This window comes from Homo sapiens, chromosome 18 (genome assembly GCF_000001405.40).
Source record: "Homo sapiens chromosome 18, GRCh38.p14 Primary Assembly".
Lineage (NCBI taxonomy): Eukaryota > Metazoa > Chordata > Mammalia > Primates > Hominidae > Homo > Homo sapiens.
Window position 1 is genome coordinate 58,591,326 of NC_000018.10, and position 26,520 is coordinate 58,617,845.

Here is a 26,520-nt window from a genome sequence, read left to right on the forward strand (position 1 = left end):
CCAAAAAAATGGTAGGAAATGTCTACCATGTATAAAGCATTGTGTTAGCCACTATGTGGATGATAAAGATGTGAAATTCCTAGGCTCTTTTCTCAGGAGCCTCCCATCCAGTAAGGGAAATGACTTGTCTATACAAACAGCTATAATACAGGACAGTGTGTGCCAGGCACCATTAACAAGCGTGCCAGTTATAAGGATTCAGGTGTTGGGGGCATGCAAGATAATGAAGGGAGGTTTCCTGGGGAGCTCAACAGCTGAAGCAGACCAGGAAATACAGGGTAGGATTTTGGCAGGAAAGATGGTGTGTGCCTGTGGTTGGTGGAGGGGTGATCATTCTAGGCAGAAGGAATAGCCTAAATGTGGAAGGAGGCAGGAAAGCTTCAGGCCCTCCCAGGAAACAATAAGCCATTTTTAATTTGGAACTTGGGGAAGTGGTAGGTGGGAAGGTAGAGTAACTGCGTTGTTCACTGTTTAAACAGGACACTTCAGAGAATGAAAAGGGACTCTCTTAATACACCAAAGCAACAGGCAGAGACTGGGGCCATGCTAGGGAAAGTGAGGCTGGCCCAGGTGGATCAGGAGATATGGTCACCTGCCAAGAGGTGGCTGAGCCCAGATCGTGGAAGGTTTTCCATCCCATACTAAGGGGTTTAGACCTCAGGTTCCAGTTCACTGGGAAGCAAATAAAATAGTCATGTAGGAAGGGATGGAAAATAATTCTGTAAGACGCTAACTGCATTTCATACCACAGACCGGGGATGAGGAGCAAATGTTCTTGCTCTCCATATCTGATGTGACCTGTGGCCCCCAATGAGCAGGAACACCCCGTTCTCCCATGTGTCCTGCTGGACCTGCAACTATACATGCTTAGCACACTGCATGGGACTTGAGAAGGGAAACAAGAAATTAGTAGAAGACATGGTTCCTTCCCCAGGGATGAGACTTTTGGGTATTAAACAGGGAGCAGTACACAATTTGCAAAATCCAGTGTCATTGAATTCCAAAAGGCACAGCCAAGGCAGCCAGCACTTCTGGTGGTTAGGACAGGAGAGGTCACAGGGGCCTGGGCCTTCAGGAAATGAAGCCAGGAGCACAGAACTCGAGCCCCGCAGGGAAGAATTACATTTTGGCTGGGTGGAAAGAGGGGAGGGCATTCCTGGCAGATGCACCGGAGCTGGAATGATCAGGTCATGTGTAAGGGACAATAAAGCAATGAGCTGATGTGGGATTCGCAGGAGGTAGGGCTGGGGGAGAGGGCCCTGAAGAACTGGGGCAGTGGGTGGGGAGGAGCTCCGGTGTGGAGGGTGCGGAATTCTGTCCAGGGGCACTATGTGTGTGTGAACTGCAGGGGAAAGTTTACTTTTCTTCTTCACCCGAGGACAATTCGAAGCCGATTGCAGAGGCAGTTGGCAAAGTCAGTACTGCATAGTGGTTAAGGGACAGACTTAGCAGCGAATGTGCCTGGGTTCACATGCCGGCCCATCTGCTCCGCAGCGTTGGAGAAGCCACTTGACAGCTCTGGACAATAGCTGAACCTCCATCAACCCGGTGACATGAGGATTAAGGGATTAACTCCTATAAAGTGCTGAAAGCAAAGCCTGGCACACAGTAAGACTAAATCAATAGTTCTCAGCCCTGGCTGAACGTTCAAGTGACTTGGAGCGCTTCGTAAAAATACCAGGGCCGGAGGATTTTAGGGCGGGGAGACTACTGCTGATTCTGCAGAGGTAGATACATGTCAGGACACCTTTGTCCAAACCTGTAGAACGGACACCAAGAGTGAACCCTCATGTAAACTATGGACTTGGGGTGATGATATGTCAGTGTGGATTCATGGATTGTAACAAATGTACCATGCCGGACAGAGGGTATGTGGGAACTATCTGTGTCTTATGCTCAATTTTGCTGTGACCCCAAAACTGCTCTAAAATTAAAGTCTATTTAAAAAGAAAAAAAGGGGCTGGGTGCAGGGGCTCACGCCTGTAGTCCCAGCACTTTGGGAGGCCAAGGCAGGTGGATCATGAGGTCAGGAGTTCAAGACCAGCCTGGCCAACATGGTGAAACCCCATCTCTACTAAAAATACAAAAATTAGCAGAGCGTTGTGGCATGCGCCTGTAATCCCAGCTACTTGGGTGGCTGAGGCAGAAGAATCGCTTGAACCTGGGAGGTGGAGGTTGCAATGAGCTGAGATTTCCCCATTGTACTCCAGCCTGGGTGACAGGAAGGGACTCTGTCTCAAAAAAAAAAAAAAAAAAAAAAAGGCAAAAAAGACCGGGTGCAGTGGCTCACACCTGTAATCCCAGCACTTTGGGAGGCCAAGGCGGGTGGATCACCTGAGGTCAAGAGTTTAACACCAGCCTGGCCAACATGGTGAAACCTCATCTCTACTAAAAATACAAAAATTAGCCAGGCGTGGTGGTGCATGCCTGTAATCCCAGCTACTTGGGAGGCTGAGGCATGAGAATTGTTTGAACCTGGGAGGCAGAGGTTGCAGTGAGCCGAGATCGCACCATTGCACTCCAGCCTGGGCAACAGAGCAAAAACTCCATCTCAAAAATAAATAAATAAAAATAATAAAAGGAAAAAAATACCAGTGCCAGGGCCCACCTCTTCCCCCAACCAAAAAAAAAAAAAAAAGCACAATTAAGCAGCATAATGGGGTGAAACCTTCACCATCAGTTTTTTTTTTAAGGTTTCTAGGCTATTCCTTTGGGCAGCCAGCACTCAGAAGCACTGAACTAAATAAATGGACATGGACTCTTGTACAATAGCGAACACGTCAGGGAACAGGCATGTTCATGGTAGAGCCAGGATCTTTTCCTGGGGATGCATGGGGAGCGGTTTCCTGGCTTCCACTTGGCGCAGAAGCTCTGCCCTTTTGACAGCTTTCTGAGCCTCTGGGAGCAACGCAGACCCACCAGAGATTCTTTGAACAAGAAGTGGGCAAACTGATTTCAGAAAGGAAAAAAATCCTATGGCATTACTACCACCACGCTTAGTTAATAGATGACTGACCCTTCTTATTAAAAGAAAACTCAAAGTTATCCAGAAACAATTTCCACCCCCAGCACCTAATAGGTCACCAAGCGAGCATAATGTCCCAGAAATCTTAAGGAGCATTGTGACAATATACCAAAACAATCTTAAGTTTAAACTGTAAATCTATTCTCTGAAAGGCCCATCATCTTGGGAGCAGGACTAAGATGAATGCTCCATCAGACAAGCCATGGCCGGCAGCCCCAGCTCTCAGCAGCACAAATGTCCCTAGCCACAGAGGCCCAGAGCTCTGCTAATTCATCAAACACCCAGCACGCCCCAAGCCAAACTGTGGATGTCCTTATCCAAACCTGCTTCTTGTCTCCACAAAACTGCAATTCCATTCTACCAATTGCTCAGTGCAAAAATCCTGGAGTCCGTCTTTCACTCCCCTTTCACGTCCAGCATCCAGTCCAACAGCAGCTCCTGTCAGACACACTCAGAACCTGGCCGCTTCCTCCCACCTTCTGCAGGACCGTCCTGGGTGGAGGCACCACCGTCTCATCTGAATTACCGCGATGGTTGCTTGCAGTCCCCATCTGTGCCCTGAGTCTTCTCCAGAGGATACATTCACATCACTGAGATAAGAGTCATCCTTTTACACTTAGCCAGAAAATGTCATCACATCTCTGTTCAGAAACCCTCTTATGTGTCTCCATCTCACTCCAAATCAAATCCAAAGTCATGACCATGTGCCATGGCCTACAAGCAATGAGCTGACGTGGGAGTCACAGAAGGTGAAGAGAACCTGCCTTCCCCAGGTAATAACCACATCACCTCCCGCTCTGTACTTTCACCCCTGTGCTCAGAGCCCCTCACCAGAGAGACCTTCCCACCGTCATGCGCCTTCCCTCCCTCGTGCTGCTTTATCTTTTTTCACCTGACCCATTACATAGTTCCTGGTGTGTTAAATGTCTGGCTCCTCTTGCGATCCCTTTCCCATGAGATCAGGGACTCCAGTATTTGCTGCTGTAACCTTAGGGTCTAGAACAGTCCCCGGCATATAGTAGGCCCTCCATGAATCCTTATTTTTGAATGAAGTCCTTATGATCACTCCTTTTTGAATTATATTCCAGGATACATCTTAATAGATTTTGTTTGGGAGGATGGCACTGGTAGGATGAGATGCAGTGATTAACATAATGGACTCCGGGGCCCTGGGAAACAGAATTTTGGGGTTCTAACCCTAGCTTTGTTCCTAACCCATTGTGTTACTTTGGATGGGTCCTGTGATCTCTCTGGGCCTTGGGTGACCTATAGGGTGTAGGCAGTGGACTAGACCAGTTGGATTTGACCAATTAAAACAGAATTTTTTAGGGGTGGGATATAAGCATCAATACTTTTTTAAAGTTCCCCAGAGGTAATGTATAGCCAGGAGTGGGCTAAGCCTAAGCCTTACAGCAGGGTTTCTCCTGTGTTAAAAATGCACACGAATCACTTGGGATGTCATTAAAATGCAGGTTCTGATTGGCTGGTCTGGAGAGGGAGCTGGGATTTTGCCATTCTAACAAGCTCCCAGGGGATGCTGATGCTGGTGGTCCAAGACCAGGCTCTGAGCGGCAACATCTTGAAGTCACTTCCAGCTTGGTGACTCCAACGTTTCCATCAAGGGTAAAGGTCCCCTTATTAAATTCTCAGGAAAACATCAGCTGTCACTCCACTAGCTGCTCAATTTGATCTGAGTTCCCTACTCAATGACTGGCAAGCTGCCCCCGCATGCACTGTGTGGCTGTTAAGAGTTGGTTTTCCTTCTTAAAAAATGAATTGCTGGACCCAGAAAGGGGGAATGAGCAAAACCAGGTCTGAGAATTTCTCTCCCAAAAGCAGGCTCAGAGACCTGTAGTCAGGGAAGAAGCCCGTCACAAGTCAGTGGCTTCCCTTCGTCTGCCGTTCTGTTGTCAGGGCCTCGGTGCTGGCTGTGTCCTGTGTCCCTCTCTATCTCCTTGATCTGACCATCTCATGATGCCTCTGCCTGGCTGCCACCTCCTGGTGCCCACTGGTGAGCCGAGGCAGCCACTAGCAGGCAGACGGGCAAGCAGGGCACCCTGCACAGGGCCAAGGGAGCAGCCTCATTAGGGCTGTCAAGGAGCAGCTCCAACAGGAGAAGAATCTCCATCTGGCTGCTGCAGCAGCCGCCGCAGGGAATGGGAAGTGACAAGGACAGAAAGGGAGCAGTCACTGACACCCTGCAGTTCAAATGGTGACCAGAGCTACTGACAACAGGGCCTTCTCCTACAGCAGCTGTGGGAGGCCTGTTAGATTATTCTGCTCACCCAGTCCCCTAAGGATTCAGCAACAGAGCCTCTGACCACCAACAAGCCACAGTTCATTCAAATCATTTCCCCCAGTTCAGATGGCTGTATGTGGAATGGCTCTTTTGCCTGCTGCCCTTGAGGCAAGACTCAGTGAAGAACAGAACCCCTGGATGCGTTGTGTTAATTCCTCCCACAAATCTTTTGTTTGTTTGTTTGCTTTTGAGACAGGGTCTCATTTTGTTACCCAGACTGGAGTGCAGTGGTATGATCATGGCTCACTGCAGCCTCAACCCCCCAGGCCCAACCAGTTCTCCTACCTCAGCCTCCCAAGAAGCTGGGGCCTCAGGTGTGTGCCACCACCCCAAGCTAATTAAAAAAAAACAAAATTGGCCCGGTGCAGTGGCTCATGCCTGTAATCCCAGCACTTTGAGAGGCCGAGGCAGGTGGATCACTTGAGGTCAAGAGTTTGAGACCAGCCTGGGCAACATGGTGAAACCCCGTCTCTACTAAAATACAAAAAAATTTAGTCAGGTGTGGTGGTGGGGACCTGTAATCCCAGCTACTCAGGAGGCTGAGGCAGGAGAATTGCTTGAACCTGGGAGGTGGAGGTTGCAGTGAGCTGAGATTGTGCCACTGCATTCCAGCCTGGGTGACAGAGTGAGACTCCAACTCGAAAGAAAAAACAAAAACAAAGAATGGCTGTGTCTAACAATACACAGGAGATCTCAGGGCAGAAAGAATGAGCATTTACTTAGCATTTGTTGAGTACCAGCACTGTTCAAAAAGTTTCCTTATGTGTATTATCTCATTTAATCTTCACCCAACCCTGCAAAGTAGATACTGTAATCATTCCCATTTTACAGATACGGAAATCGTGGCAGACAGAGGTTAAGCAACCTGCCCAAGTAAGAGATGAGGCCAAGAATTGGACCTGGGTAGTCTGGCTTGAGAGCTGAGTATCTACTTATGATACTTAGTGTGTCTACTTACACTCTCACAGAGTGCTGCAGATTTCTGATTCTGAACCAGTGGGTCCCTGTCCACCCCCACTGGCTCATCTTAGTCTGGCCCTGTATATAGCCAGAACACTTCCATATTTGGAGCTGTGCTAGCTACTGAATTATGTCCCCCACCAAGTCATATGTTGAAGCCCTAACCCACAATGTGATGGTATTTGGAGGCAGGGCCTCTGGGAGGTGATATGGTTTAGATGAGGTCACAAGGGTGGGGCCCTCATGACAGGATTAGTGCCCTTAGAAGAGATACCAGAGAGCTTGCACTCTCTCTCTTTCTCTCTGTCCCATGTGAGAACATAGTGAGAAGGCAGCTTCTGCAAACCAGGAAGAGGGCCCTTACCAGAACCTAACCATGCTGGCACCTCAATCTTGGACCTCCAGCCTCCAGGACGGTGAGAAAGAAACTTCTGTTGTTTAGGCCACCCACACTATGGTATTTTGGTAGGGTAGCTCAAGCTGACTATGACAGGCAGGGTCTGAGGGACCATCCCAGGGCTTAACCCCTCTCACGGACCACGCCCATTCTCACCCATTCTCAGGTTCACCTGAGGCCCAGGTGTGGGGTGTGGCCTGAAGGGAGTCCTGGAGGATCCAGAGCGGCAGCTCCTCTCCCATATGAGGGGGACTCCACTGAGGTGTAGCCTGGTGTCTCATGGAATGTACTGAGACTGGCTCAGCATTGTGGGATTCAGAAAAAGTGAATGGGAGCATGTGCTTGGGAGAAGACAAAGCAGGAATTCCAGGTGATGGAGCCTGGAGGCAGACGGGGAGGGGCGTGAGGTCCAAGTCACACAGTGGTTCATGGAGAACTCAGGAGGCAGGGGCAGGAGAGGCTCCCAGGCAGGACCTGGCAGAGGCAGGGAGGCCTTGGGGCTGTCATGAGAGGCCCTCAGCTGAGTGCATGAGGAGGAGAAATAGGCTGGGCTGGTCAGGACAGAGACTTACGCTGCCAAACTGAACCCCTTTCTCAGTCCTGCCCTCTCGCTACATCGTCGGGGCAAAGCCCTTCCCGGGACTCACAGGGCCTGATTAGTTTCAGCTCTGTCCATAACTAGCCATCTCCCCTTGTCAGGTAATTTCTTTATGAGCTTTACCTTAGAGGGAGTTGGTCAACTGTTCCCCAGCACTAACACATCACGATTTCTACATGAGCAATACACCCCATCTTTTCAATCTTTCCAGATGTGTCTGCCTCTAATTCTGTGATTACAAGGTAGGGCTGACTCCAAGAACTTCCCTAATGTGCCTGGTCTGCTCAGTTCTCAGAAGGTGTCAATGGAGTGACAGTTTCAGAACGTGACAGTGACAGTTTTCAGTGACAGTACTTTCAGAACGTGTCCAACTTCTAGTGATTGGTGCACCTTTCCCTGACTGTCCCAAAGTCTTGGGAGGGGCTCTTGGATCAACCTGTCACCTGTCACCTGACTAGCATGATTTGCCCTGAGGAGTCTGCACCATGGTGGGAGCAGCCACCCAAGTCCCGTCCCCAGGAAAAGGTGAGTGAGTGTCCCAGAACCTGGCCTATAACCATTCACTCTTCTGAGACACTTACCTACTAAAGTCACCACCAGAATGTGATGACAAGCAGTGGATTCTCAGAAGGGACCTATCACCCGAGGACTAACCGGGAGTTCCTTGTCAGACCCTCGGAACTCATTCAAGCAGGGCTCCAGGCATGGTCTGAGTCATGGCCCTGATGCGTGCCTGCTGAATTCATTCAGGGAGAATGCCACGGGAACCTGCCTCAGCCCTGTGTCAGGAACACAGACACCTTCCAGGTGTCGGAAAGTTCTACCAGTCATCCTTAAGATTTGTTAGACCTACTTAAGCTCACAGGAACATGAAGTTCACAAAATGCTTTCCAACCTTGGATGAAATGCATTTCCATCTTAGCCAAGACATAGCAAGATTCAGTCATCTTTATTTCTACCTGATGATTTCTTGAACAATCACGTTAACCACATTTTTTTTACCCTCCAAAAGAGAAATAGCAGAGGGGAAAAATGCTGCCTTTCTTACCTCCAAACTCTCCTATTTTAATCAGTTCCAAAATTATAGTTTGGGGTGGGGAGCATGTTTAAAGCACCTGAAATAGCTATTATGTATTGAGTATTCAAAATTCTTTGCATGTGTTGATTTAATCCCCACAACAACCCTATTAGGCAGGTACTATTATTATCCCCATTTTTACAGATGAGAAAACTGAGACATAGAAAAGTTAAATAATTTGCCCAGGATGATACAGCTTATAGATCTGGGATTTAAACCCAGATCTTTGGACGCTGGCTGTCAATAGTGGAAAAGATTGTCTGTTCTTTGTAAGCGAAGTTGATGGTGACAATTCTATTAGCAGGTTGTGTGTTCTGAGGTGTTTCTTCCAGCAATGGGGATATCTTTTTTTTTTTTTTTTTTTTTTTTTTTGAGACAGAGTCTCGCTCTGTTGCCCAGGCTGGAGTGCAGTGGCATGATCTCTGCTCACTGCAACCTCCGCCTCCCGGGTTCAAGTGATTCTCATGCCTCAGCCTCCCGAGTAGCTGGGATTACAGGCTCACGCCACCATGCTTAGCTAATTTTTGTATTTTTAGTACAGACAGGGTTTCACCATGTTGTCCAGGCTGGTCTTGAACTCCTGACCTCAAGAGATCTGCCTGCCTTGGCCTCCCAAAGTGCTGGGATTACAGGCGTGAGTCACCGCATCCGGCCCCAGTGGGGGTGTCTTTAAGTGATTCACCTATACTCATTTGCCCAGTTTCATTCATGAACAACAACTCATGTTTTTCAGATGTCTGGCAAACGGTTTAGGTTTCCTTGGGTGATTATGTATAGAAAGAGGCTGATGGCCCTCCCCAGGGCACAGGTGACAAGCACTTACAAAGAGCTCTCAAACCAGAGTATCTTGAGGAAGGTAACACTGTACCCCACGGCTCCTAGGGTCTGTCTGTCTGCCTGGACATGAGAAATAAATGAGAATGCCGACACATTACTGAAGTCACAGAGTCCACATTCTAAAAACAATCCACTCTGTGAGGTGCAACAGTTAATAGCATGTTAGAGTTCTAGTGGAAAAGAAAATGAAAAACTATCCAAACAGGGTTGCAAGCATGAAACGTGTAACAAAAGCAGCTTAAAACCTTGTGTCTGGGTGAGCACTCTCTGGTTCAATACCCGTTTCTGAAATTTCAGTGTCTGTTTCCTGGACACTGGACTGTGTCCCACTGGACTGATCCCACTGGACTGTGAGTGGGATCATAGAGAACTTTGCTTCCTCTTACTTGGCACTGGATTCTAGAGCATATTAAGTGCTCTTAATGTTTGTTGGATAAATGAATGGTTAAGAACAGGCCAAGAGTGGCAGCTCATGCCTGTAATCCCAGCACTTTGGGAGGCCGAGGTGGGCAGATCACCTGAGGTCAGGAGTTCGAGACCAGCCTGGCCAACATGGTGAAACCCCATCTCTACTAAAAATACAAAAATTAGCCAGGCGTGGTGGCATGTGCCTGTAACCCCAGCTACTTGGAAGGCTGAGGCAGGAAAATTGCTTGAACCTGGGAGGTGGAGGTTGCAGTGAGCCCAGATCTTGCCACTGCACTCCAGCCTGGGCAACAGTGCAAGACTCCATCTCAAAAAAAAAAGGATAAAAAAATTATAGGCAAGGGGCAGTCATAGGTGGCTTTTTGAGAAGGATAAAGATACATGCAAATAGATGATTTAAAAGATCAATTAAATTTCCCACAGATAGAAGATACAGATTACAAAATCTGGCTACAAATTCCACTCATGTGAGTACGCACACCTTGTTGCAATGTGACTTTGCCACTCTTCAAAAGTAGAGTCTATTTTTCTTAAATGTGGGTTGGCCTGTGACTTGCTTTGGCCAAGAGAATGTGAGAGAAATGATATTGGGTGGAACTCATGAGGCCCTGCAGCTCCGTGACCTTGGAATGCTGCCCTTAGACTGCCCTGTAAGGAAACCAGTACTGTCCTCCTGGGGGATGAGAGCCCATGTGGAGGAGAGCAAGGCGGGCTAGCCAACAGCAATATCCACTGCCGGGCCTGTCAGGGAAACCACACTGGACCTTCCAGCCCAGCCAATCCGTAAATGGACTTGAGTGGCATGAATGAGCATGAAAAAGCCAGGGAAAACCAGCAGAGAACCAGCCCGCCAGCCCACAGACCCATGATAACTAAGAAACTGCTGCTCTACGAGAGCACACCAGTTTTGTGATAGTTTGCTAAAGTTGCTCAACCTTGGTGCTCCAGACATCTTAGATCGGAGAATTCTGACTGTGGGGATTGACCTGTGTACTGTCCAATGTTCAACAGCAGGTTTGGCCTCCTCCCGCCAGATGCAGTAGCACCCCACCCCCTCCTGTCAGGACAATCCAAATGTTTCCAGACATTACCAAATGTCCCCTGGGGGAAAAACACAAGTGACCCAGGAAACCTTATTGATTTCCCCTTCAAATCCTTGAATAATCAATCGTGAATTTGGGGCAGAGTTGAAAAAAATGTTTTTGCCCCTTTGTCCCTAGACATCTCCCACTGGGTAGTCTGGATGAACTCAGCTGGTGTGTCTGGAACCAACACTGCATTCTCAGATAAACCTGGCCAGTGCTTATGTCCAGGTAGGCAAAAAGCCCTGCCTCTTTTTATGGGATTGCTTGGCTACCCCATGTATTAGCTTCCTAGGGCTGTGTAACAAACTACCGCAAACTGGGTGGCAAAAAGCAACAGAAATTTATTCTTTCACAGTTCATGTGTCCAAAATGTCTAAAATCAAGTTGTCGTCAAGCCATGGTCCCTCAAAGGTTCCAGGGAAGACTCTTCTCTTGCCCCTTCCTAGCCTTTGGTGGCTGCTGGCAATTTTTGGCATGTCTCGGCTTGCCATTGCATCACCCCAATCTCTGTCTCTGTCTTCCCACCGCCATTTTTTCTCTGTGTGTGTCTCTGTGGCTCTGTTTTCCCTTTTTAAAAGTATACCAGTCATTGAATTAGGACCCACCCTGTCAGAGGTGTTTGAACCAGAATGACTCCATCTTGAATAGGGTCTGGGTAAACTAAGGCTGAGACCTACTGGGCTGCATTCCCAGGAGGTTAGGCATTCTTAGTCACAGGATGAGACAGGAGGTCGGCATAAGATACAGGTCACGAAGACCCTGCTGATAGATCAGGATGCAGTGAAGAAGTAGCCGAAGCCCACGAAAACCAAGATGGCAATGAAAGTGACCTCTGGTCGTCCACATGGCTCATATGCTAATTATAATGTGTTAGATGCCAAAAGACACTCCCACCAGCACCATGACAGTTTACCAATGCCATGGCAACATTTAGAAGTTACCCTATATAATCTAAAAATAGGAGGCACCCTCAGTTCCAGGAAATCTCTGCCCTTTTCCCAGAAAACACATAAATTATCCAATTCTTGTTTAGCATATAATCAATAAATAAGTATACTCAGGCGAGCAGCCTATACCGCTGCTCTGCCATTCTTTTACTTTCTTAATAAACTTGCTCCAAATTCTTTCTTGTGTGAGGTTCAAGAACCCTCTCTTGGGGTCTGGATTGGAACCCCTTTTCCGTAATAATCCAACAACCTAATCCAATATGAACTCCTTCACTAATTATACCTGCAGAAATCCTATTTCTAAATAAGGTCGCATTCTGAGGCTCCAGGCAGACATGGATTTGGGGGACACTATTCAACCCTGTATACACTCCATGAGCTGATTGGCTTGTGGTGACTGTGCCGTTCTCCTGGTCATTGTCCCTGCCCGGTGCTCTATGGACCTGTCCCCAGCCTAGCCGATGCCAGGGCAGAGTTGATGAGAGAGCAGAGATGCTGCTTTGTCCCGCTTTAGCCCAGGCAGGAGCGGAGCTTTGCTGCTCCTGGTGCTTCCTCCGCCCCCTTCCCCTTCCTTCCACCTCCCTCCTGCTGGCTCTCAGCACAGCCATGTGATTGCAACCATCAAAGGAGGCCTCCCTGCTGAGGAGGGGGTATATCTAAGTGCGGGTTCCTGGACAGATTTTTATCTGTTGCTTTGCTGCCTTTCTTTACATTATGTTCATAAGAGACCACAATTCCCCGTTTGTATACACATCGTTGCAATTTGCTTTATTATGAGGTAGAAAACGTCTATTTGCATTTTCCTCCCCACTCCCCAACTCCTACATCTTTTGGAAAAAAAAAAAATTCTATTTCAAGCTACAGTGCATACCATAATGTGATTATTGATGTTTCTTTCCCTGGGAATGCCTTCTTGGCTTTCCATTTCTCTTCCCTGCCAAGCACACTTGACCCGTGTTAATGTAAAGGTTACAACAGCAATGATAAATCTCTTCCCCGCCGTCTCACTTGCCTGAAGTGCCCAGGTTCATGAGATGAGGACAGCATGAGGAGGAGAATGCAGGATGCAGGGAAGATAGAGGAAAGAGAGAAAATCAAAAGATTCATAAATCGCAGGGCTCTTAGCCTCCAAGCAGAACTGCAGATTAGATTTGTTAAACCAAAAAAGCCCTTGGGAAACACAGAAACAGGAGCTTTCGAATATCTAAAAACTCAGATTTAATGATCCAAAGATCAAATGCAGGTGAAGAAAAGTACTTTTCTTTGGGCTATGAGCTAATCCAGGGGTTGACGGTATATAGCAGGAAATTTTGAGACTAATATTATAACTAACAGCTAACTTTTAATCTTTGAAAGGCATTTGCACAAAATACCGTTCATTTTCCTCACCAGCATTTAACATATTGGTATAAGTCAAATCCCTTTGCAGATGAATGCTTAGGACGTAGAGCGTGTCTCAGTTTCGGCAAAACACTGGAATCACCTGGGATTCCGATTTAATTGGTCAAGCGCGAAGCCCAAGCATCAGTGGGTTTTAAAGTCTCCCCAGGTGATACTAACGGGCAGCTAGAATTCAGAACTACCGGTATAAAAAGTCAGAACTTCCCACGATCATTAGTGCCCAGCATACTTACTGCTAAGCAGCAAAACGTGACCACATCTATTACAGGGCTCTACCAACATTTCTTGCATTACGACGGAATACTTTTCCTAGTAGACGGGCTATTTTTCAAAATGGCAGCCCAGGAGCTTGGAATGAGTGGATTCTGTTGTGTCAAATCTTCAATTTTCATGGAAAGCCACTGCCCTGCTGGATCTCAGAACAGGGAATGGTGACTCCCTGAACCTTCCACAGGGCAAGTTCCCTCCCCAAGTTTCTCCTTCTGCTTTGTATACCTTCTGCTTTGACTTGCCCACCTGTCTCTGGGGCTTCCTCATGGGCTTCTTATTCCTCCATTCATTTATACCCTCATCCTGTATATGGAACATAAAACAGTAATAGCAAATCTCAATTCTTAACACATGTCAAGCTTCTCTTCTGGCTAAAATGTGGGCATAATATTTTGGTTTACTGTGAGACTAAAATTAATCAGGAAATATGTGTTGATTGCTCAGAGGAAAATAAGCAAGGGTGGGAAACATACAAAGAAGTTCAGTGTGTAGATCCTCAAGGATCTTACCAGGGTAGGCAAACTATAGCCCGCAGGCCAAATCTGGTCCCTCGCCTGTTTTTGTAAATAAAGTTTTATTGGTACACAACTATGCTATTTTTTTTAAAGCATATTATCTATGACAGACCTGAATAATTGTGGCCTATTTTTGCATCTGGCCTGCAAAGGCTAAAATACTTACTATCTGGCCCCTTTTAGAAAAATGTTTGCTAACATTGATCTAGATAAACCAACCACAAAAACAATAGATAGAGAAGGGAGAGATATAGATAGATAGATGTCTCCATCCATCCTTTCAACAAATATTTATGTTGTAGGCACTGTGCCAGGCTCTAGGGGATGTTTGTGTGAATCAGAGAGGGCTACTTCCCCCTGTGAGGCCCACAGTCTACTGAACTTGTCATCAATCCTGAGCAATGAATAACCACCAAAAGGGAGGCCTGTGCAACAAGATCAAAGGAGAAGAGAATGTTTGAGGCTAGACAAACCCATGGGTAACTAGAATCTCACCTGTGAACCTTACAGCTGGTTTCTAAGCTGAATGGGATAAAGACGAGGAAGGGGAGACCTCGACAAGGTTGGAATGAAGAAGTAGGAAAGTCCAGGTCATGGTCAAGGGCCAGCAAATGCCAATCCGGCTGTCTCCCAAGTATACTGGAGTGGTAAGGGGAAGAATGGCTTTCTTTGTTCACCACTGATCATCCATACCAGAGTTGACATTTTGTAAGGGTGTGGACAATGTTTGTGTTATTTACCTCCATCTCTAGCGTTAAGCAAAATGCTTGGCATATGTAGGTGCCTGAAGAATATTATCTAAAGAATTAAAGAATAGATGAGTAATGGGTATCTCAAATGTTAGGCTAGATATGCTGTAAGTCAGATAAGCATTTCAACCTTGGTAAAATGATGTCTGATGTTTATTATTTATTTACATATTTACTTATTTTTGTGACAGGATTTCACTCTGTCACCCAAGCTGGAGTGCAGTGGTGCAATCATAGCTCACTACAGCCTCAAACTCCTGGGCTCAAGCAATTCTTCCACCCTGGCCTCTCAAGCAACTGGGACTACAGGCACGAGCCACCATGCCCAGCTAATTTTTCAATTTTTTTGTAGAGATGAAGTCTCACTGTGTTGCCCAGGCTTGTCTCAAACTCCTGGCCTCAAGCAATCCTCCTGCCTCACCCTCCCAAAGTGCTGAGATTGCAGGCATGAGCCACCACCATGCTCAGCCTGTTACTTTAAACAAAGGACTAGATAGGAGATAAGAAAGCTTTTGTGTTTATGAACAACTCCTCTACAATGAAACTTCTACAAGCATTACATTCTTTAACTCTGTCAGCCTTTTGTTTTATAGATGATGAAATTGAGTTTCAGAGAGGTTAAGCAACTGGCCAAGGTCATACAGCAAGAAAATGGTAGAGCTGGAACTCAGTAAGTCTTTTTTTAAATCTCAGACTCAACGCTATCAGCACACTCCCATGCCTACCAGTCATTTTCATACCATGCTTTGAAGAACCCTCAGGCTCCTCAGAGCCCCATAATGGCACTGTGACCAATTTAGTAGCATTGAGGATCAAAAGCACAGACCCCCTACCCAGCTTCACCCTGAGCAGTTCTCATTTTCTCTCCTTTACTTATTGAGTTTCCTGGTTTTATCCAAACAAAAGTTCTTGGAGGAACAAAAAAAAATTCGAAATCACTGTACAGGACCATACTACTTCCTAAAATAAAGCCAGGGGGTATGGTTTCTAGCCTGAACTCCACCACCAAGGTGCTGTGGGATCATAGTCAGCCACTTCTCCTTCTTCCTACCCATGGAAGTTTGGACAACAATGCTGAGATCCTATCACACTTTCTTCACTTTCCAGAGAGATCAAGATGAAATGAAAAGCTTATTTAATGGATGGCAATGGCTGGATCACCTTGAACAAAATTCTAGATAAAGTTTAACTCCATTGACAGCAGCAAATTAGGGGAATATAATTAGTTACTGAGCAGAGCTCAGGAAATCATCATTGCTGGGTGCTTTGGCAGATGCCTGCCAATGGCATCTAAAATTATGACTCTAGAAGCAAATATGAGCCAATCTTTTGGCCTTACCTCATAGTAATCAGCACATGACAGAATATAAGGATATTAGTAAACAGTCCACAGGGGTATAGCCACTTACCAAGAGAGATGTAACACATGAATATACTGATTCTCAAAGAATTCATAGTTGGAAATAATGCCACTCCCATCGATGGCCTGACCATTCTTATACCAAGTTACCTCTGGCTTGGGCTGACCTGACAATAAAGAAAGAAAAGTATCCTTATTAGTTTAAGTATTTTTAGGAAAAAAAAAAAAACCCATAAAGCTATGAACAAGGATGGACAGTAAGCAACAGGGATGAGGATGATGGATTACGTTAGGTGAGGAATTGAAAAGCCTTCTTCTTGTTGATACAAATAAACACGTAATTCAGCAGACACTATTGAGCATGTTATGTACCTAAGATGGTGCTGTGCTGATGGGTGGCATACAAAATGAAAAATGCTACCCCTAATCTCAACGTGCTATTAAGAAAAATTTTCCAATACTTGGAAATAAGGCAAAGATATGAATAGTATCTTTTTTCAATGTCATATGAAGGCAAAGGCCCATCCAAGCATGATCTTGGGTCATATACTTTGTTTCACTCAATGATAACTACTGATTTAAAGTGAAGGTATATGTTAATTTGTAGGTTTTTATCCAATAGAAATGCAAATAATTTCCATCTAGGAGAAAAGATAATCCTATAAGTTATTGTTTATTGCTCTGTAGGACATTAACCAGTGCTACACCTAACCCAGCAGTTTTACCCCAACATTCCTTTATTAAATTGCCTATACACACCTAGCTCCTCAAACTTTAATAGTTTCTGGTTTCTTCTCTAATTAATTAGTTGAATAAAATCTTTAAAATGTGTATTTCATATTTGCATGGGAATCACCTTACCTTTTTGAAAATTATACTTTAATAGTGCTCAAAGTTAGTGCGTTAGTTATGGCACAAAAGAGAGGAGAACAAAGTAGATTTGCAAATGCCACTTTCTTCCTGAGGATGAAGAGTTTGGAATGTAGGCTTCCCAGACTGATGCTATGCATATGTTACTGATATCATCACAGAAATTGACCTACACTTTCTCTCTTAGAAAAGATTCATCCTTCCCTGGTGTTCAATAATGGGACGTGATGTTAATGGGCTAATCCGGTAAAACCTCCGGGAATTTCATCCACCCCTTGGGATTTTTCCCTCTTGTTACAGAGCAGGAAGGTTTCCATTGTGTTCCAAAGAGCTTTCTCATTAGCCTTCATGTCACTGAAAATATGTCAAAATGTGCCATATGCACAGGAAGGAAAGCCTGGTATTTGGAAACAATACACCATTCTTAATCTGTCTTAGGAACGTTCTTGTATTTCTGTCTTATTTATTGCGTGATTTTTGGTGAGCAACTCCAGAGACCACTAAGATGAGAACCGCATGTTCTGGCCAGGCATGGTGGTTCACGCCTATAATCCCAGCACTTTGGGAGGCCGAGGCAGGGGGGTGAATCACTTGAGTCTAGGCATTTAAGACCAGTCTGGGCCACATGGCAAAACCTCATCTCTAGAAACAATACAAAAGTTATTTGGGTGTGGTGGTGTACACCTGTAGTCTCAGCTACCTGGGAGGCTGAGACAGGAGTATGATCTGAGCCTATGTGGTCGAGGCTGCAGTGAGCTGTAATCATGATTGTGCCACTGCACTCCAGCCTGGGCGACAGAGTGGGACCTTGTCTCAAAAAAAAAAAAAGAAAAGAAAAGAAAAGAAAAAACGGAACTCCATAGAAAGAGGAAAGACAAACGAAGTACAGAGGGAAGAAAAAGTTCGTTAGACCTGCACCTGCACCATGAGCAGGACCTGAAAATGCTAAGTCTCCCTCCCTCCCTCCCTCCCTGTGTCTCCCAGCTAGGCTGCCACTGTGCTCATGCCATGAATGCGCTTTTTTGGCAACTGTGGATTTTTCCTCCTTGCCTTCTCCTTCAGGTAAACACCTGAGTAGTTACCCTGGGGCTTGGAACAGATAGACCTGCATGCAAGGATAAATCCTCCAGTAGCTGCGTGGCTGAGCCTCTTACAGGCATTTGCCTATAAAAAGACACCAAAAAATGGGCTTCCCTGAAAAACCATCAAGGGGTTTCTGATCATAATTCATTTCTGCCTGTTCTTGTCAACCCTGTGTCCTCCTTTAAGACTGTTTCATCACACTCCTTTATAGGAAGCAGTGAATTCCTCCTTTTTGTGGGTACGTGGCTGTTTTGAAGAAAATACATAAAATATTCATGAGCTGGGCCTGGGAACTCATTCTGATCTCTTGGATTCCAGTTTTTCATTCAGGCTGATGAGGGCTGATTGATTTCCCCCAGTTTCCTAATGGCTGACTGTTTTTTTCCCCTGTGCAGTATAGATCTGAACAATCAGCCAGAAATGAGACTTGCATAGGGAAGTGGTATCTGGTATCTTGTGGGTGGTTCTCTTTTCTCCTGCCACTTGCTGGAAACCTCACCTGAAAGTCCTCCCCTTGTTTTTGGAACCTACTGTGGGTCATACATTGAGAGCCACCTCCTAAACATTTCAGAAGTATCTGGGCGAGGGGACCACAGCCAAGTTCAGGGCATGTCCAAACACACGAGGGCTCTGCTCTGAAGACTCAAGGTCAGCTTGCACTGTTCTGTCTGTCTGAATGACGATGGACCATCACGGAGACAGAAGCCTGGGCTTGGAGAGGCTGAGCGCACAGTTCTACACTGCAACTCCAGGCTGAAATCGAGGTTTTATGACAACTTCTGCTAGCGAAAGGCAGCCGTTTCTGAGGCTCACCCCTCTCCTCTCTGGACTTAGAAAAATGGGATCAGAGACCAACCTGGCCGACATAGCGAAACCCCATTCTACTAAAAATACAAAAATGAGCTGGGCATGGTGGTGTGCATCTGGAATCCCAGCCACTTGGGAGGCTGAGGCATGAGAATTGCTTGAACCTGGGAGGTGGAGGTTGCAGAGAGCTGAGATTGTGCCACTGCACTCCAGCCTGGGCAACAGAGCAAGAGACCCTGTCTCAAAAAAAAAAAAAAAAAAAAAAAGAGCAAGGGGAGAAGAGTTTTCTGTCTGCCCTCAAGAAACACCATTGGCACCTTCATGTTTTCAAGGGTAGAGACATAATCCAAAAAAGAAAAGAGAACCACCCATGAGGTACAAGATATCACTTCCCTACCCAATTGTTTTATGTTTATGTTCTTTTAATGATAAATCCTTTTACCATTGGGAGTACCCATACTTGATCAATTCTGAGTTATTTATTCACCAATCCAGAATCCCAGTCCCCTGTTTTTTCTCCACTGGTCACCCATTGCCTCTGTTTTAAGATTTTCACTTCTTATTAGCATCCCTGAAGAAGGCGTGCAGAGGAGAGACTAATTTAGCCAGTTTTAAGATATCAATTAGGGCCAGGCGCGGTGGCTCACGCCTGTAATTCCAGCACTTTGGGAGACCAAGGCAGGCAGATCATGAGGTCAAGAGATGGAGACCATCCTGGCCAACATGGTGAACCACCCCCCTCCCCCCGTCCCTATTAAAAATATAAAAATTAGCCAGGCGAGCCAGCCGCAGTGGCTCACGCCTGTAATCCCAGCACTTTGGGAGGCCGAGGCAGGCAGACCACCTGAGGTCAGGAGTTCAAGACCAGCCTGACCAACATGGTGAAACCCCATCTCTACTAAAATACAAAAATTAGCCGGGTGTAGTGGCGGGTGCCTGTAATCTCAGCTACTTGGGAGGCTGAGGTGGGAGAATTGCTTGAAACCAAGAGGCGGAGGTTGCAGTGAGCTGAGATCGTGCCATTGCACTCCAGCCTGGCAACAGAGCAAGACTCTGTCTCAAAAAAAAAAAAACAATAAAAATAAAAATAAAAAAATTAGCCAGGTACAGTGGTGCGTGCCTCTATTCCCAGCTACTCGGGAGGCTGAGGCAGGAGAATAGTTTGAACCCAGGAGGCGGGGGTGGCAGTGAGCCGAGATCACACCACTGCACTCCAGCCTGGGTGACAGAGAAAGACTCCATCTCAAAAAAAAAAAAAAAAGTCAATTAAAGAATAACAGAAGAGTTCCATCAATTTACCGAAAAAAAGTGATTCATGCCATTCCTCTGTGCTCCATGAATTTAAACTATGGTTAAGGACACCCAAGAAAGAAAGAAAATTAAGAGTGGATTATCTGAAAAAAATAACCAGTGTGAGAGCTGCCTAACCCAGAACCACAAGGTGAAGTAAAGATCACTAAATCGTGTCCAGGAAGTCACTCAAAGAAATCTTTTAGAAACAAATCATAGAGGATGGAGTTGCTTCATTGATTACACAGAAAAAAAAACTTCCAAGGTAATTTTCCCAAATGATGTTTTAGTAATGCCTTTGTGAGCCAAGAAACCTGGTATGCAGGGAGATTTTAGAGGGTGATTAGCTAGTCTAGTGATGGTTACCAGATATTATGCAGCGAAGCACAGCGTCTGACTTCTCAGGAACCTTCTGGGAAAGCAATGTAGATAAAAAACACAGCGGGGGCCTCTGGGGCCCTTCGGAGTCTTTCATCCTTTCATGCCGCACCAAATCTGAAAAAAAAAAAAATCCCCGACATCACCATTTGTTCTGGGATTTCTCTGGCCTTCTTAGGAATTCCAGAAACCACAGGGTGCCGCCCTGGCAGCTCACTGCACGCTGGAGGGTGGGCAGACTGAAGGTCTTTGGGCAGCCTTTCCAGGCCGTGGTGCTGCTGGTAGGTGGGCTGGATCCTTCTGTATTTCGGGGATGTCCTGTGCATTGCAGGATATTTAGCCGCATGCCTGGCCTCTACCCACCAGATGCCAATAGCACCCCCACCCCTCCATGTGTGACAATCAAAAATGTCTGCAGACACTGCAGGGGAATGGGGGGGTGCCCTGATTAAGAACCACGAATCCTATTGTCCTAGGCAGACCCCAGAGCACCCAGAGTTCCAATGGAGAGGGAAGCATCCCATGAGGCTATGGTTAGTGCCACCTCCTCTCATTCCTCCTCCTTTCTCTTCTTAAAGTCTTTTCACACTGTGCTCAAAAAAGTGTGCATATGTCTTTGCCTCCAAAAAACATGTCAGTTGTGTTGAAATGATGTCCAGGGAGGAGATATTTTGAAATTAGGATATGACTGCTCCTTCTGAGCACCAGGTGGGTGCCCTAGGGGAAGGCAGGCACTAAACACTTGATTAGTCACCAGATATATTATTTCACTTAATCTCTTTGAAGCTACTTAAAGGATAGTTACTAATGTCTCCTACATTTTACAGAGGTGGAACCTGAGACTCAGAGAGGTTCAACAACTTGCTCAAGATCACACAGCTCAAGTGGCAGCCACCTTGGGGCTGTCCTTCAGGGCTGTGCAGGCTGACACTTTCAATGTGTAAGACACCACTGGAGCTTTGCAGGGCACAGCTTGCACAAGTATGAGCCAGCCCTGAGGGCGCAGGTTGGTCTGAATCCAGAGAACCCTTTCCTTTCCACGCTACCGCTACCGGCAGATACAAGCTGGCTTCACTTGGCCAGACCTCTCCTTTGTGGAGCCCTGAGCTTAGAAAGGGCATTTAGTTCTGTCTACACAGTAGCGTCCACTTCTTCACAATGGCAGGCGGTTCTCCCACACCACAGAGCTCGGACAAAGAAAAGAACCACACTACAGTGTGGTTAGCCTGAACAGGGAAGGGGCGGTTAGGAACTGCAAATCCTGAATCCAGGGATGCTGAGGTCCCCAAAGCAGACACCTGAGCTAAGCTCTTGGTAGGAGAGGCCAAATTAAAGCAGCCACAGCTGTATTGCCAAAGGGACACCCCTTTCCATATGAGTGTCAGTAGCAGCTTCTTACCCATTTAGAAACAGTTCTTCCCTATTTCTTCCCACTTTTCCAGATTGTCTCAGATACCCTGAGAGACGAGTTCCCCGAGGACAGTTCAAGGTCTCACCAACACCTAAAAAATCTCCTGATGAGCAGAAGTGAGTAGAGGGAAAAGGAACCTGAGTTCAGGGCCAATGATGTTTGAGGAGCCTTGCTGTAGTAGCAGGATGAGCAACATAATTTGCAGGGCCCGGTTCAAGATGAAAATGAGGGGTTCTTTGTGCAAACAGGATTAAGGATTTTAAGATGGTGACAGCAGAGCATTAAACCAAAGACAGCACCTGGCCCGGCATGGTGGCTCACGCCTCTCATCCCAGCACTTTGGGAGGCTGAGGCGGGCGGATCACAAGGTCAGGAGTTCAAGACCATCCTGGCCAACATGGTGAAACCCTGTCTCTACTGAAAATACAAAAATTAGCTGGGCATGGTGACTCGTTCCTGTAATCCCAGCTACTCAGGAGGCTGAGGCAGGAGAATTGCTTGAACCGGGACCTGGGAGGCAGAGGTTGCGGTGAGCCGAGATCACGCCACTGCACTCCAGCCTGGGCGACAGAGCAAGACTCCATCTCAAAAAAAAAAAATAATAATAATAATAATAATAATAATAATAATAATAAAATAAAAAGACGGCACCCTTCTGGGCTCAGGGCCCCGTGTGAAGACACAGATCTTGGCCCATGAGGCCCACCTTGCTTGGTGGATGCTGCCCTTGGAGCATTCTGCTCACAAATGCCTCTAGTGCTTTCTTTTGAGATCACTCCTGCTGCTTTGGAAGTTCCCACAGCATTTCCTTAATCTCAAGATGTTCTGTTTAGAAATATGGTGTGAACTGTATTTCCCAAAAAGTGTTCCCAAACTGCCCCTCCATAAAGCACCTACACTCTGTAAATATCAGGGTTAAAAAATAAATTAATTAAGGGGAATACACTGCCTTCCCTTCCTCAGGGAGAGTGTGTGCAGGAAGCAACTTTGTGCTTAAACCTGAAGTTAAATTAACTTACATGATGGGTGGAAAGAGCCGTAATGTTGAAGAAGTGACATGGTGGCACTGAAAAGAGAGAAAACTGCTTGGGTGTGGGGCAGAACACATGAGATGGGAGAGAGGTTTGAGAGACATACCTGCTGGGACAGGTGTGGAAGACTGAGCAAGAGAGGCTGAACTGAAGATTTTTCAGAAACTATGCATTGTGATTGTGAATTGGGTCCTTTTGACATTCTTTAACAAATGACTTACATTTCCAATTATTTTTGGTTATAGAACTTCTTAAATGTAGCTGTGCAGAGGCTGGATGACATGGGGCTCCGGTTCATACATGTGGTATTTCAGAGCATAGTAATCCCCTCTCAGCATAATGGCAAATTAGTTGCACAGCACAGGAAGAAAATTCATCTGCTAGATAGCAAATAAATACCTCCATTCCAGATTAGGTTACGGGTACATTTGGTGGTTACGGAATGGATATCAATTGGTATTTTTAAAAAACCAGATTTAATACCAGCCCAAGGCTGGTCTTGAATTCCTGGGCTCAAGCCATCCTCCCACCTCAGCCTCCTGAGTAGTGGGGACTAGAGGCTTGAGCCTCCATGCCCAGCTCTCTTACAGCCTTAATGAGATATAATTACCATACCATACACAATTTACTCATTTAAGTTGTACAATTCAATGGCTTTCACTATATTCAGAATTGTGCAACCGTCACCACAATCCATTTTAGAGCATTCTCATTACTCTAGAGAATCCCTACACCCCTTTTACCTCCTCATCTCCCCATTTCCACCCTCCCCCCCAACACACACAGCCAGAGGCAATCACTAATCTACTTTCTGTCTGTATGTATTTGTCTATTATGGATTTTTTTTTTTTTTGTAGGGACAGGGTCTCACTACATTGCCCAGGCTGGTCTTGAATGCCTGGGCTCAAGCAATCCTCCCACCTGGCTTCCCAAAATGCTAGGATTATAGGCAGAAGACACAGAGCCCGGCCTATTCTGGACATTTTATATAAATAGAAGCTTTCACTTAACACAATGTTTTTGGGGTTTGACCATATTGTCACCTGTATCAGTACCTCATTCCTTTTTGTGGCCAATCAGCAATGCTTTTCAGAAGCAACTGTTGAGACAGAGGGATGACTACCCCACTCTTCATATTCCTAGGGAAGTTACTCAAATGGAGGGGGACAGTGGCGGGCAGGGCAGCTCTCATAGCAAGAAAACACCCTCCTGACCAGGAGGCCCCATAGAACTGTGAACACAATACAGGCTTTGCCACCTGCCAGGAACAAATCTACATCCAGCTCTGCCAATTATAAGGCAAGGCATTGAACCTACCTTCTCATCTGTAAAAGGAGGGAATGATAATAGTCTAAGGATTAGAATAATGTATGTCAATTGCCTTGTAAATATCTGTTACATAATTAGTTTTCATAATGGTAATCAGCGTAGTATAAGGAAAGAGTTCACTTGTTTCATCAGTTTCCTTTTCTGCTGTGGGTTACCACAATGATTCTTTTTTAAAGTGATATACCAACTAATGTGTAAAAATGTCTCTGGGTGTAATTGTCACCTGCAATAGTAATTTACAGGACATGACCTTCCATTCTCATTCCTGGAGATCACTGCTATGGATGGAGAAGGAGGAAAGGATAAATCCAGCTGTCAAGAGCTGGGCTGACGTTGAGGAGCTTCTGTGTCATCTGTGACTCCTCCCCAGGTGATGACTTCCTGACAGTGTTGTCCCACATGTGAAAATACTGACAAACACACACTATTTGACTCACATAGTCAGTTTAGTGACCACATATCTGAGCCACAGAGCACTGACTGTACTCTGGAGAGGAAAAGGACAGTTAAGTCAGGCTGTGGCTCGTGTTTCGTGGCTTCTCTGAAGGTGAGAACCCTTGATGACAGATTTATCATTCTCTGCTAGAGATGAACAATCAATATTGAATTATTGGTATTAGTGGAGGAGTTTGTGGTAGGCTTCACAGATGACCTTGGGAAAACAATGTGTTAATTGGAAAGAATGCTGGATTTGCCTTTTTTCTTTTCTTTTTTTGCTGTGTGGTTATGGTGTTATGATATATCTGTATATTTATTGGTTTCCATCCACAGTTCCTGGCTCCTAACTCCCATAGTCCTTGTTATAATGTTGGGGCACTTTTGGCCTTGGGAAACAGAATCTCTCTCTCTGACCTTCTATCCTTCTTTTACCTGTCCAAGGCAGGACTCTGTGGTCAAAAGGCCCTTATTCCAAAAGACCCTCATTCCTGCCTCTTACTCTAGAGGAAAGAATGCCACACAGAGAAACGAATGCCAAGAAAAGTCTGAACAGACAGGCCTTGCTGGGTTCAGATCAGGTGCTTTTTGTCCAATCACATTTCTACATAGTTGTCAATCGTGCCTATGTAGCGAAGCCTCCATAAAAACCCAAAAGGACAGGGTCTGGGGAGCTTCCAGAGAGCTGAACACGTGGAGGCTGACAGGAGGTGAAGAACTCATCCACACACTGGGAGGGTGGCACATCCCAACTCCATGGGGACAGAAGCTCCTGCAAATCGCCTATGGATCTCTGCAAAATCGCCTGTGGTTCTCTGCATCTGGCAGTTTACTTGTATCCTTAAAATAACCTTTGTAATAAACCAGTAAATGTGTTTCCCTGAGTTCTGTGAGCTACTCTGGCAAATTAACCCCAAGAGGTGCTCATGGGAACCCCAACTTGAAGCCAGTCAGTCAGAAGTTCCAGAAGCCTTGACTTGCAGCTGGTGTTCCGGGGGCTTGGGGGGTGGGTGAGGAGTAGCCTTGGGGACTGGGCCCACAACCTGTGGGATCTGACACTATCTCCAGGTGGACAGAGTCAGAACTGAAGCCGAGAACACCCACCAGTGTCTGCAGCTTGGCGTATGGGGTAAATCCACCACAACTTTGGTCACGGAAGTCTTCCTCTTCTTCCGTGTTGATGATTGTTGTTGTGGTGGTGGGAGAGCAGAGAAAAAACAGTTTGAGAGAGATTTTCCCTAAACAGTGGATTGTGGCAAGTTTCTTTTTATTTGTATTTGAATTTATTTATTTATTTATTGAGAGAGTCTCACTATGTCGCCCAGGCTAGAGTGCAATGGCACGATCTCAGCTCACTGCATCCTCCACCTCCCGGGTTCAAGCGATTCTCCTGCCTCAGCCTCCTGAGTAGCTGGGATTACAGGCGTGCACCACCACGCCAGGCTAATTTTTGTATTTTTAGTAGAGACGGGGTTTCACCATGTTGGCCAGGCTGGTCTCAAACTCCTGGCCTCAAGCGATCTGCCCACCTCGGCCTCCCAAAGTGCTGGGATTACAGGCGTGAACTACTGTGCCCAGCCAACTTCTTTCTTTTTAAAAATTTTATTTACCTTTAATTATACTGATCCTAAGTGGATACATTTATGTTCTTAAAAATACATATAAAGGTAAAGTCTCCCAGAGGCATCATCTCTCCATCTCAGTTCTCTACCAAGAGGAAGAATCTGGTATCCTTTTAGGCATTTTTTTCTATTCATTACACATATAATCATCTAAATATATGATAATTTTGTTGTATGTATGGCATGAATGGTATATATGTATGTTGGTATGTATGGTACATGCTTTGTTGACAGTTGGCTTATTTTGCTTAATAATAAGTTTTGGCAATCTTACAGTGTCAACCCAATCCGTAAGGCTCTCTATCAGCTTTTGAAAG

The 26,520-nt window shown here is 45.9% G+C and overlaps 1 protein-coding gene and 1 non-coding gene across 2 annotated transcripts in view, besides 2 other annotated features; one reads left to right on the forward strand and one right to left on the reverse strand.

Annotated features, from left to right (window-relative positions):
- ALPK2 (alpha kinase 2) overlaps positions 1-26,520 on the reverse strand; it is a 147,845-nt gene that overhangs the window by 110,079 nt on the left and 11,246 nt on the right. The window contains exons 2-3 of the mRNA NM_052947.4: positions 20,364-20,492; positions 15,997-16,114 (exon numbers count right to left, since the gene is read on the reverse strand). Of these exons, the coding sequence (NP_443179.3) occupies positions 15,997-16,114; positions 20,364-20,472 (227 nt within the window). The 5' untranslated portion in view covers positions 20,473-20,492. The remainder of the gene's footprint in view (positions 1-15,996; positions 16,115-20,363; positions 20,493-26,520) is intronic.
- Positions 9,295-9,427, forward strand: SNORA108 (small nucleolar RNA, H/ACA box 108). The gene has a single exon (NR_132963.1). It is a non-coding gene; the product is annotated as a small nucleolar RNA, H/ACA box 108 (small nucleolar RNA).
- Positions 20,150-21,020: an enhancer, noted in NCBI's record as "NANOG-H3K27ac-H3K4me1 hESC enhancer chr18:56278707-56279577 (GRCh37/hg19 assembly coordinates)". NCBI's record gives its function as "activates a minimal SCP1, AML or CMV promoter by ChIP-STARR-seq in primed H9 embryonic stem cells {active_cell/tissue: H9 hESC(primed)}" and the evidence as "EXISTENCE:reporter gene assay evidence [ECO:0000049][PMID:30033119]".
- Positions 24,218-24,287: an enhancer, noted in NCBI's record as "active region_13398". NCBI's record gives its function as "activates an Ori minimal core promoter by ATAC-STARR-seq in GM12878 lymphoblastoid cells {active_cell/tissue: GM12878}" and the evidence as "EXISTENCE:reporter gene assay evidence [ECO:0000049][PMID:35858748]".